Source organism: Homo sapiens, chromosome 12 (assembly GCF_000001405.40).
Source record: "Homo sapiens chromosome 12, GRCh38.p14 Primary Assembly".
NCBI lineage: Eukaryota > Metazoa > Chordata > Mammalia > Primates > Hominidae > Homo > Homo sapiens.
The window spans coordinates 86006916-86020556 of NC_000012.12; the positions used below are offsets into that span (position 1 = coordinate 86006916).

Consider the following 13641-nt stretch of genomic DNA (forward strand, 5'->3'; position numbering starts at 1 on the left):
CATTGCATTAGCCTCCATGAAGTTCCTTGAATAAAGTCTACTTTATCAGTAATAAGGGTCATGATGAATCATTTTCTTTCTTTAACAGCATCTAAGAATCTGATTCATCTAATAATTGTGAATCATATAATTCCTCTAATAATTATGACTAATATAAAGAGTATCTTCCTCTGTTTATATTTTTCTCTTTATCATTATCATAGGAAAATTAAAAATTCTGCATTTTCAACTGTGTTCAATGAATGGTTAAATATACAGATTAAAGGATAATGTCTTTAGAATTTTACTTACATACATGAAAGACTGCAATATTTTGGGCAGCACAATACCAATAGTGAAGAATACTATCCTGAAATGGGGCTTTATTTCAATACTGCATCTTCCACCTAGATGAGTCCATCATTCTTCCATTTTCTAATTATTTCAATCTATGCTTTAGCACAGTTAGAATAATTTATATGTGATGAAATACTCTCTATTAACATGAAATAGTAAGATATTTCAGGATATAAAAAATATAAGATCACCATGATCTGGTAGTGTATCATAAGATTTACCAAAAGGTCTAATGGGCTCATATGTTAATTATAATTTATAATGAATGTGCCATTTAAACAAGAATAAGTTTTCTCTTTTTTTGTCTGGTAGAATTCAAATAAAGTATAAATATCATCATACGACAAACTTTAAAACAAAAATGTGTTTAAACAAACAGAAAAAAACAATAAAAACAAAAAACTAATTGGTTTCAACAGACTCTAATGATTTATCAAAGGTGAACAGTATTTTTCGATGAGCAGCCATTTTTAATGTTGTTGATAAAGTCAAGTTCATTAATTTTTTATGGTATTGCTTTTGTGTATTCTAACAAACCATTGCCTAATTAGTATCATGGAAATATTCTCATATGCTTTCTTCTAGAGGCTTTATAGTTTTAGTTTTTAGGGTAGGTATAATAACCATCTTAAATTAAGTGTATGGTGTGAAGAAGAGGATGAAGTCCCTTTTCTATCCCATTTATTCAGTTGTATTGGGTGCCTTTGTTGAAAATCAGTTGGATATATATGTGTGGTTATATGTTTGAAATCTCTATTAGGTATATGTCTCTATTTATTTTTCTTTATGTCAATATCATACTATCTGGATTACTATCTGAAATATGATGATGTGAGTCATTTGCATTACTATGGAAGTTTTATCATCAATTGTCAATTTTGACAAAAACAATCTAGAATTTTTATTAAAAATTTGTTGAGTCTGTAAATTATTATACAATCAACTAACCAATTTCTACTGAAAAACTATTTAGAATTTGAGAATTTGCTGGTTGTACAAATAAATTATTTGAATCTAAAAATACATTTTTCTCAACATGGTATTTATTTACATTTATTCAGGTCATCTTTAATTTGTCTGAGCAATGGTTTTATTTTTCAGTGATGCTGACATCTTTCATGCCTGTAAAATTTATTATTAATAATTTTATCTTTTTTCTATTATAACAAGTGCTTTCTGTAAACATGTTTTCTGCTACTACATAGAAATTCAATTTATTTTTCTATATTGATGCCTTGGATCCTGTGACCTTGTTAAATTTAACCATCATGATATTGACAAGCAATAAAGAGTTTTAATATTTTTTTCCAATCTCTAAGACTTCAACATTTTGTTGCTGTTATTGCTGCCTTATTTCAATGGCAATAAGTAAATGGGCTTCCAGTAACATGTTAAATAGAAGTTATTAAAACAAACTTTTGTGCTTTGTTATGATGTTAGGAAGAAAGCGTTAAGTATTTCAATGTAAGGTATGAAGATAGTTGTAGTTTTCTTACAGATGCACCTTATCACACTGAGGACATTTGCTTCTATTCCTGGATTGATAAGGTTTGATATTGAGAATAAGTGTGGAATTTTGTCAAATATTTTTTCTCCATCTGTTGAATTGAGGGAGCTTTTTTCTCCTTTATTGTGCTATACGATGGATTATACTTGCTGATTTTGTAATTTAAACCAAATAGAAGTATACATTAAATAATTATATAATTATTTTTATATACTGTTGATTTGCTAAGATTTTCTTTCTGCATTTATGTTCTTCAGAAATATTGATATGTAATTTTCTTTTTTATTTTCCAATATTGTTGTCAGCTTTTGCTATTGGAGTGCCAATCTCAGAGAAACCTTAAGTCTAGGGCTAATTTTGCCTTACAGCTAAGGCAATACCCTTCTGAGTACTCTATCTAATGACCTGCATATTACAAACTTTTTCATTTCAGTTAAGAATTACTCTTAGAATAATTCTCTTTTAGAATAATTACTCTCAGAAATAAGAATTACTCTTCTTTTCTGTGTGCGTTCCAGAAGACATTGCAACTGTTCCTTTCCAGTGATTCTTTAGTAGCCTTGAATAGTTTCTTCACACACATGCCATAATGAATGCTCAGACATAAAATAATCCCTTTCTCTCTCTCTCCCTCCCTGCAGTTGTGTTTTCCATGCAGCTTTCTCCTCTCTAGTATCTGCTTGTGAATTACAGCCACTGCAGAATCCAAATATCTTAGCTATGTCTCTTCAACTCAGAGAAATCAGTTGTGTCTTTGAGTTCACTCTCCTTGTATTGCAACCCAGAACCTCTAGCCAGTAAGCTACGAAAATGACCTCATTTCCCACCCCATCCCCCCAATCAGGAATCACTGCCTTGTTCTGCCTCTTTTATAATGTCTAAATTTTGTTTTACTTTTATTAATTCTGCTTTTCTTTTAGTTGTTTAAGGATAGAGGCAAATCTGACCCCTATTTCTCCATCATGGTAAGAAGCATATTTCTGGTTATAAGATTTTTTGCCTACACATTCTTTCCTTTATTTTCTTGAAAAACGTTGCTCCATTATTGTCTTGCTTTCTATCTTACTGCTGAAAAATCTAATCCTACCTGGTTTTCTTTCCATTATAAATGCCTTGACAAATGTAAATGAGTTGGTTGTGTAGCTTAGAGGCTTGCTGAATATTTTATCTTTAAAGTGGTATCACATATGTCTTGGGGTTATCAATTCTTGGTAAAGTACTCAAGAATTACTGAAGAAATTCAGAAAAATCACTCGATCACTTGATATTTCATTGCATATTTAATTTTAAACAGACATAGGGAATATGGTGTAAGAATAATGCATAAATGTTATATATTGTGATAATGTCAAAAAATACCCAATTAAAAATACAAGAAGATAGAAAGGGGGAAGTAGTCTAAGTTTGTATATCTACACCATATAGATAATAGGTGTAAGTCACAGACTATTATTTAAAGCAAAACAGACATCAGAAGCAAAGTTAGAAAACAGGACTAATGAAATAAAGATGATTGTAAAAGGTAACTACTTAAACAAAACTGCAAGAGTTCCTAAATACCAAAATGAATATAAGAAAAATATCTGCAAAACTACTAGTGCTATGGTTTGAATGTTTGTCTTTTTTAAAACCCATGTTGAGGATAGACATGGTGGCTCATGCCTATAATCCCAGCACTTTGGAGGCTGAGGCGGGCAGATCACGAGGTCAAGAGTTTGAGACCAACCTGGACAACATGGTGAAACCCCGTCTCTACTAAAAATACAAAAATTAGCCATGCGTGGTGGTGCACACCCGTAATCTCAGTTACTCAGGAGGCTGAGACAGGAGAATTGCTTGAAACCGGGAGGCGGAGGTTGCAGTGAGCTGAGGTTGTGCCATTGCACTCCAGCCTGAGTGACAGAGCAAGACTCTGTCTCTAACAAACAAACAAACCAACAAACAAACAAACACACAAAACCCATGTTGAAAGATAATCCCCAGTGTAACAGTATTAAAAGGTGAGGCCTTTAACAGGTGACTGGATCATGAGGCTTCTGCCCTTGTGAATGGATTAATCCATTCATGGATTAATGGGCTAATGGATTAGTGGGTTATCACAGGAGGGGTTAGTTATCACAAGAGTGGGTCTGTTATAAAAGTTAGCTTGACTCTCTTGTGTCTTTTTAGTCTTGTGATGCCTTTTGCCATGTTGTGATGTAGCATGAGGCCCTCACCAGAAGCCACCCAGATGCTGCTACCTGATATTGGACTTCCCAGACTTCAGAACTGTAGAAATACATTTCTGTATGTATAAATTACCCAGTCTCTGTATTCTGAGATAGCAACAGAAAACACACCAACACAATCACAAAGGGAAATATAATACAATGAGCAACTTTCTAAATCAGAAACACAGAAGATGCAAGAAGTCAAAATTCCTAATAATAGGGGCCTTTAATTTTCACAGCCCAATATAGATCAAGAGGCCAAAAATTGCCAAATATCACAGCAGTAAATTGCATAAGTCAAGAACTTTTAGAGACATAAGCGCAGGTTTATGAATTCACTTCACAAACACAGTGAAGGAAATTAATATTCTTATCTCAGAATTTCATAGTTTCAATAGTTTAAACATTAGCAAAGACAGAGAATATAAAAAATCCAAAGTTATCTTTTAGAATTTTAATTTTGGTGTGAGTTTTGGTCAACAAAGCACATATGATAGGTAGAGATTAAGAAAGAATATTTTCTGCCTGACCATCAACCAGTATAATTCAGAATATTACAACAGAGGAGAGAACCACATTACATGAGAGAGATGTTGTTGGCTTATAATAGTATAGTAGAAAACGGGATGAGAGAATTGAAGCAAGTTAATTCCTAGGTAGTAGGATAGGGCCAATAGGTAGCCATTTAAACTTATATTTTAAATCCATAGACACTGTAAAAACATTAGTAACTTAGGGTCCCAGTGTAAAAAAAGTATGTTAATATAATTTGCGAATAATACTGATTACTAGGAATAAACACTATATTGAACATGGCAGACACAAACTCACCATCCTTTACCAGCTCCAAGTGTTAAAGTAAAACTTTGGTCTCAAATTTGCAACCAGGTGAGCACACCCTGATAATATAAACTTCCATGTCACATGCTACTGCCTGAAAATAGCAATCACACAAATGAAGATGAGTTACTTGAGCAGGAGATCTTGGTTCCATGTTCAAATAACATTTTATCTGCTAGAATTTTTTCTTTGTTTTGGAATAATATTACAAAGGACAAGTACGTTTTTCTTTTAAGGTCATGAGTTGATTGTTACAGATTAGGTTTATTTGAAAAGTCGTAACTCATATTATATTATCATGATTTGAGTGAACTATTTCTCAGGATGATACATCATCTTTATATACCCTTAATGTCATAGACATTTGCTTGCTAACGGCATATCCCACGATACTTTTTATTTCTGTTACACCCAATGGGAAATCCTGAGCATATTTTTTTACTAATTATGTTGTGTTTTCAAAAACAGCTTCATCACAAGTTTCTGATCCAAGGCTATTGATTACAGAACACAGTTATGGAAGCAAGGCTATAACAATATCCTTACTTCTCTGTACCAAATACATGCAGCATTTGCATGTCTGGTTCAATAAGGCTTAAGCAGTTTTTGTTTGGGAACAGAATCATATGCTTTTTTAAAGACCTGGGTGAGGCCAGGCGCAGTGGCTCAAGCCTGTAATCCTAGCAATTTGTGAGGCTGAGGCAGGTGGATTACCTGAGGTCAGGAGCTCGAGACCAGCCTGGCCAACATGGCAGAACCCCATCTCTACTAAAAATACAAAAAAGAAAAAAAAATTAGCCAGGAGTGGTGGTGGGCGCCTGTAATCCTAGTTACTTGGGAGGCTGAGGCAGGAGAATCGCTTGAACCCGGGAAGCAGAAATTTCAGTGAGCTGAGATCGCACCATTGCACTGCAGCCTGGGCAGCAAGAGAGAAACTCCGTCTCAAACAACAACAACAACAACAACAACAACCACCACCACCACCACCACCACCACCACCACCACCACCACCACCACCACCACCTGGGTGGTGGGCCTGGTGCAGTGGCTCGTGCTGATAATCCCAGCACTTTGGGAGGCTGAGTTGGGAGGATTGCTTCAGGACAGGTGTTTGCGACCAGGGTGGGCAACGTAGTGAGGCATCATCTCCACGAAAATTAAAAAAAAAAAAAATTAGCCACGGTGGCACATGCCTGTGGTCCTAGCTACTTGGAAGACTGAAAGACTGAGGTGGGAGGATTGCTTGAACCCAGGCATTCAAGGCTTCAAAGAACTATTATCACACTACTGCACAGCCTGGGCAAAAGAGAAGTAAGACCTTGTCTCTTCTTCAACAGAGAAGTAAGACCTTGTCTCTTCAGAAAGAGATGAATGATGAATGTTCATTTACATGAAAGTAATACTTCAAAATATAAACATTGAAATTATTTTGAAGTGATACTGTACCAAGTAATTTTTTTTTGGAGACGGAGTCTTGCTCTATCGCCCAGGCTGGAGTGCAGTGGCGCGATCTCGGTTCACTGCAAGCTCCGCCTCCCGGGTTCACGACATTCTCCTCAAGTAGCTGGGACTACAGGCGCCTGCCACCACGCCCGGCTAATTTCTTGTACCAAGTAATGTTTTAAATAGAAATAAATCCTTTCACTCTATACTTCCCCTCATAAAAGATTATTATATATGAATATATGGATAAACATACTAACATACAAAATGCATATTATATATTCATGCATTTACATTTAATTTATACATAATGTGGCATATATTCCTATACATATAAATAAACAATTATACATATATAAATAGAGCTATATTCACTTATAAATCTGTGAACGTGTACTATTCTTTCGTACCATTTAATACTGGTCCTACCTGAATTTTACCTACTGTTTACAAACCACCAACAAAAAGAACATACGGCTTTTCTAGTGTCAGTCAGGTCCACAGAATCTTAGTGAAAAAAAAAAAAAAGACTTTCTTAGTAAACTCTTTTCTCTCCTACTCCCATAAATATTATCATTTTCCATCATTCTATTCAAGCTTTTCTTCTTTTTCTTTGTTACAACATTTTTGGTATTACATGACTTCTCCTACAATCATATTTAGAGCTTCAGCTAGGACTCCTTCCTGAATCCCAGTCTCAGTTTTTGAATAATGACTATTCTCTTTACCTATTTTTCTGCTGACCAATAAAACACAATGCATCTAAAACTGTAATTTTCCTTTCCTGCCTGCTTCTCCTTCCAGATTCTTATTTTTGGTAGGCTCAGTTTTCTCAGGGCTAAGTTTATAGCTTCTATTCTCTCATAATTAGAAACATGCCAAACCCTCTTTTCCTCAATATCTCACCTGCCACAATGTTTCCTGTTGAGTTCTCACTGCCATAATCAAAGTTCCGGTTAATACTTCCTTTAATTTTGGCAACGGCATTACATTACTGATGGTTTTCCCTACCTGTTCATCACAATTTTGAAGCATCAACCCCTAAACCGGAACTGGGAAACTAGTTTTGGACGTTCCATCCCTAAACCAGAAGTGGGATGATCCGCCCTTGAGGAGAGATCTTGATCCATTTCCAGCCTAGGAGCTTCAAGCAGATGCCTGCTTGAGGATGTTAATGCGGGAAAGGTAACAATCCTGCCTTGCTGTGCTGCGATGTGAATCAAGAAGGCTGCCTGCAAATGATCTCAGTTAACCCAGTAAGAAACCGTCATGGCAACATCGCGTGTTAGTGTGAACGTCAGCCAGCCCTGTTCAGAGCTCGAGGGGGAGGTCCTTTCAGGCCAGGCTTTCCCCTGACCTCATAATTTACGCTGTGAAAATTGTACAGAAGTCGGTCTGTTTTCACCCTGCTGTTGGCAAGAATTGGGGGAAGAAACCTAATGCCCCCTCGAAAGTATGTATTTTTCAGGGCCTGGAATTTGCTGAGTTTTTATTTGTACTCTGCATTTTATGAAAAAAATGACAATGAGGAGCGCCAAGGAGTACTTGGGGACGTGGAGGGCTTGAACAATTTATTATTATTATTATTTTTTATTTTGAGACGGGATCTCTTGCTGGGTTGGAGGGCTCAAATGATCCTCCCACTTCAGCCTCCTGAGTAGCTGGGACTACTGGCATGTGCCACCATACCCGGCTAATTTTTCTTTATTTTTCATTTTCTTTCTTTCTTTTTTTTTTTTTTTGGAGAGGTGGGGTTTTGCCATGTTGTCCAGGCTGGTCTTGAACTTCTGAGCTCCAGTGATCAGCCTCAGCTTCCTGAAGTGCTGGGATTACAGGTGTGAGCCACCACACCCGGCCTCTGTGTCCTACTTCTGTTTTTTCACTTCTGAGGTGAAATAAACAAAGTTTGTTCTGTTTTGTAATAGTAAGAATGGTTACATTAAATAATAATAAGGTTGGTGCAAAAGTAATTGCGGTTTTTCCGCAATTACTTTTGCACCAATGTGTGTGTGTTTTCCGCTAGGAAATGAAAAAAAGGAACTGGGGCCCAGTGTGCTGGAAACTGGAGTGCTTCTAGCACTGTCTCCCTTTGCTGCCTCCCGACAAGCTGTTTGTGCTGTGGTCATGCCAATCAGCTGGGCTTTGAAGAGGAACTGGAGGACCAGCTGTGAATGCACTGTGAGTGAGCATCTCCCATCTTGACTGTACGGAAGGCAGAGGTCTGGCATCCTTTGTGTAAGGACACTGAAGTTTATACAGATTAAGTATAACCTTTGCCCAAATCCACCTGGCTGGAAGAAGCACATTGCACAGTTGCCACCACAGTAAGTCTGGGATTGCTTGAGACAGAAGCTTTAGCAATTGCTGCAATAACTGGAGGAAGAAATAGAAATCCTTAGCAGCTTCATGTAGAGAGTTTCAAGATGGTGACTCAGGGGATCTGAGCTGTCAACTCCAATGGTCCCCTCTGATTTTTAACGACCTTAAAGTGCTTTCATTTAGTGCCTTGCTTGTATATAATCTCACATATTTTGTAAATGCAAAGCAAGTAATCACATTCAAGGACTATTGACCAATTACTTTTATTTCTTTGAGGTTCTGCACAATTGAGCATCCCTGTGTTTTGGACACGTGAAGCTGGTAGGTGAGTGGTAGTAAGTATACAATTCCAAATAAATGGGCTACATTGCTTTCTCATGCACAGCACCTAAACTACTATTATTTCACATTGAACGCCAGTGGAATTATTCATAATCTTCTAGGTGGCTCAAATAGAATAGGCAAGGACTGAGATTTGCTTGTAGGATGAACAGGAAAAAAAGAAATCAAGCATAACTTAAAAGTAATTACCCGTTTTGGTAATGGTGCCCCAAATCTTTGATGAATTGCCATCACATATCAACGAAATGCACTCAACTGGGACAATCCTTTTTCTAGAAGGAAACACTAATGCAGTTTATTAGGACACTACTCTAAAAGACAAATGCGATGTTCCTGTGCCATCAAGTTTTGTCACAAGGTTGAAATGACCTATCCCAGTGAAATTTAAGAGCCAGAAGATTTTCAAATATCTATATGGAACCAGAGGAAGATAGAATGACCTTGCCAGGACTTGGACTTGTTTGGCAAAAGCCCTGGTTGAAGCCAGACCTAAGCTGTGGAAACTAATATTTTGTGCAGACAGGATAGTTCCAAGGAAACTGCATTTTCGTGATACCAACGTTATCATCCCTGTGCCTGAATGTGTCTCCCGGGAAAATGCAGCAGATACCTAGGAAAGTTCTGTTGGACTAACCTTTGCAATTCAGAATTGAGTGGTAGCAGTCCTGTATTCAAGGTAAGGCCACTTAACACAGAAGTAAAAACCAATCTGTGTGTTAGTTCTGGATTTCCCACCTCTGATTAGAAAAATTTAGGGATTAAACTACTTAGAAGCACATAAAGCTGAGAAGGATGTTATTGGTGCAACACAGTGCATATTCTTTCTCAAAGGCCTATGTGTAAATTTTTTTTTTTGGTATGCAGACAGGTTTTTCTACACAATTTCTTTCCACCTTAGATGTGCTACATTTCTGTGCATTAGCTTCAGAACAGTAATGTTCTCCACATTTGTCTCTCATTTTAATATCCATGGATTTGCTCTCTTATCAATTCTCTCATTTTAAAAATTAATTTTTAAGTCACCAAAATGTTACCGTATTACTGATGCCTCTGAAGCCTAATTTCAGTCAAAAGTTGTTGTTCACTTTTTTGAACTCATACCATTGAGTTCATATCTGTACATCTCTTAGTTTTCTTAATACTTTCTACTTCTTAGAATTGTTATCTGTATGTTTTATTTCACCTTGGATTCTGATCTTCTTAAATTTGAAAACATTTAAAAAAAACGTATTATATCACTTGAGTACTCAGCGGAGTGTTTAAAAAGATTGCAACTACCACTGTGGTTTGAGTGTGTGTGTGTATGTATGTGTTTACATTGCAGGAATCTCGAACTCGGAGCTATAAGACAAACTACCAGCCATGAAGATTTGTATTTATTATCTACAGCATGGTACTCTTGAAAACTTGCTTAAGAGTTTCCCTGATATGACCCAGATCTGTAATGTTATTTTGGGGCTCTTTAATTGAAAAAATGCAAATGAGCACATCAAACTTAACTTTGTCTACTAAGAAGGAACCATACATTTCTCTTTATTCGTTTATAACTTATTTAAGTGAGAAGTGAGGATAATACCACTTGTTAGTTTAATTACATAATAAATATAAATATCTTTTAACTGCTATAAGTAAACATCTTTAAAGATATTAAAAAAGGTAACGAAAAAATATTGACACTATGTACAGTTAGAAGATGAGCATCAAAACTGAGTACTGGGGGAACCTCAAACATGTAACCTAATCTGTCTAATATCAAAATTCAGATATGGTGCAAAGTTTGAGAAGCCACGCAATTTAGGGACAGATATTTTTGGAATCTGCTGGGCCATCTACTTATCTTCACTGCCTTGTACATATACATATATATGTAGAGAAATAACATTTTTAACTGTTTGTCATTGGAACACAATGAATCTCTATTATTTACCTCTAATCATTGCTCATGAAGGCAGATAAAGTATTAGTTGTACAAATGTTATTACATTTCTTCTTGGGAAGATAGTGTGTGGGAACTTGTTAGTTTTCATCAACTCAAGAAAAATGCTCATTTATTAAGGAATTGATGCTGATATGAAATGACAAGTGAATTATTACACTGTAGAGTGCTTTGCTTAGAATGCATATGACTGTGCATGTAATCACAAATTCCTCCGGTTTCTGGAGTGTTACTTGGACTACATGCAACAAACCACCAAACATTAGTGATCTCAGTTCTTTTCCTTCAACTCTTCAGGGTTGCACTTCCTCAGTGCAAATTATTCTGTGGCCCTAAGTAGAGGTGGGAAAGAAGAAAAACAAAATTCTACCCATCTAAATGAAAGTGGCAACGTTAATCTACCCCAAGGCACTAAACTGTAACATTTTATTTAATCATTTATATTAAAATCAACAGAATACAACAGTAAATTACATTCCCCAAATCATAAGGGCTTATATTCAACACTTAACCTCACGTCAGGGAAAACATGAAAGAAGTGTTGCAGTCAACTCTTCATCTGTCTGACATGTGCCACTGTATGTATCTGACTTGCTTTCCTTGCTTTTTTAAATGCTTGTCCAATTTGTTTTTTTACTTTGTTTTGTGGAAGGCTGCATATGCCCTCAGGGCAGTATTCGGTACTTTCTGATGAGCACAAAGAATGTTGCTGACATAGCAAAATCTTCAGAAAGCCAGAAAAATGAAAAGTTTTTCCGAAACATCATTATAATTACATTGGGTACAAAAGTCTCAGATACTGGTAAGAGCACATGTAATTGTTTTGCTGTTTCATATTTTTTTACAGTCCCAAGTTGTATGTTCATTTATAGTATAGGTGGTAATGAAATAGAAAATATATTACATATATAAGGAGAGAGAGAGAGACTAAGTATCCTACAATGATGCCCAGCAAGATTTACATTAAGTTTCACTTTAAGCTTCAACATAAATAGAAAATGTGTGGCATTGACAGGATTGAGATTTCCTGCCACTGATTGCAGAAATAATAAAACTTGAGATGAGGATTGGGAAGAGACAGTAAACTCTTCCAATATTAAAGCTAATTGAGACAAGTTATGTTGTAACTTATTTACCAACTTCTCTTTTACAGTATCATTCTCTTAAATATATATATAAATTTTTTTCTGTGAGCTGAAAAAGGGCCTGGTTAGAATAGAATCAGTAGTAGCAAACATTGAACTAACTATGTCAGCAAGAGTACAGGAATTAACTCGTTCTGAGAAAAGTTATAACTGTGAACACTGTTTTGATTTGTCGTGGGGAAGAGAAGAGCGACAATGATGATGAAAATAACTTAAGTCTTTCAAAGGGCTATAAAATATACTTTGTTAAATCCTCCATAAAACTCATGAGGTAGGTAAGAATATATTCGTGATTATTCTTACACTATAAATACAAACTGAACTAAGATAGTTTTAGTGGTGTGCCCCAGTATAATAGATAGCAAGTATGCTGTCATACCTATGTATGATAAATGGCAATTCGGTTTAAACACAGGCCTTTGTAAATATATCTCTGATGTTGTATGCATCCTAGTCTACACAGAGTTTATCAGAGAGATAAACATTAGGTGCTTCAAAGTCAAGTTAAAAATTGGTTAAGCAATTAATATTGAAGAACACTGGGAATCATGTTTCCACCTTAATGTTAAGACATAATACATGCTGTTTTGGTTACTGTAGCCTAGTAGTATAGTTTGAAGTCAGGTAGCGTGATGCCTCCAGCCTTGTTCTTTTGGCTTAGGATAGACTTGGCAATGTGGGCTTTTTTTTGGTTCCATATGAACTTTAAAGTAGTTTTTTCCAATTCTGTGAAGAAAGTCATTAGTAGCTTGATGGGGATGGCATTGAATCTATAAATTACCTTGGGCAGTATGGCCATTTTCATGATACTGATTCTTCCTACCCATGAGCATGGAATGTTCTTCCATTTGTTTGTATCCTCTTTTATTTCATTGAGCAGTGGTTTGTAGTTCTCCTTGAAGAGGTCCTTCACGTCCCTTGTAAGTTGGATTCCTAGGTATTTTATTCTCTTTGAAGCAATTGTGAATGGGAGTTCACTCATGATTTGGCTCTCTGTTGGTCTGTTATTGTTGTATAAGAATGCTTGTGATTTTTGCACATTGATTTTGTATCCTGAGACTTCGCTGAAGTTGCCTATCAGCTTAAGGAGATTTTGGGCTGAGACGATGGGGTTTTCTAGATATACAATCATGTCATCTGCAAACAGGGACAATTTGACTTCCTCTTTTCTTCATTGAATACCCTTTATCTCCTTCTCCTGCCTGACTGCCCTGACCAGAACTTCCAACACTATGTTGAATAGGAGTGTTGAGGGAGGGCATCCCTGTCTTGTGCCAGTTTTCAAAGAGAATGCTTCCAGTTTTTGCCCATTCAATATGATACTGGCTATGGGTTTGTCATAGATAGCTCTTATACAGTAACCAAAACAGCATGGTACTGGTACCAAAACAGAGATATAGACCAATGGAACAGAACAGAGCTCTCAGAAATAATGCTGCATATCTGCAACTATCTGATCTTTGACAAACCTGACAAAAACAAGAGATGGGGAAAGGATTCCCTATTTAATAAATGGTGCTGGGAAAACTGGCTAGCCATATGTAGAAAGCTGAAACTGGATCC

General features: G+C 36.2%; 1 protein-coding gene across 11 annotated transcripts in view; it reads right to left on the reverse strand.

The window, feature by feature from the left end:
* Window positions 1-13641, reverse strand: part of MGAT4C (MGAT4 family member C) — an 883334-nt gene that overhangs the window by 51249 nt on the left and 818444 nt on the right. The window contains exons 3-4 of one of the 11 annotated variants that reach the window (NM_001351291.2): window positions 6812-6843; window positions 4885-4987 (exon numbers count right to left, since the gene is read on the reverse strand). The exons of the other annotated variants lie outside the window; for them this stretch is intronic. The gene's annotated coding sequence lies outside the window, so the exon portion shown is untranslated. The remainder of the gene's footprint in view (window positions 1-4884; window positions 4988-6811; window positions 6844-13641) is intronic. 11 annotated transcript variants of the gene reach the window in all.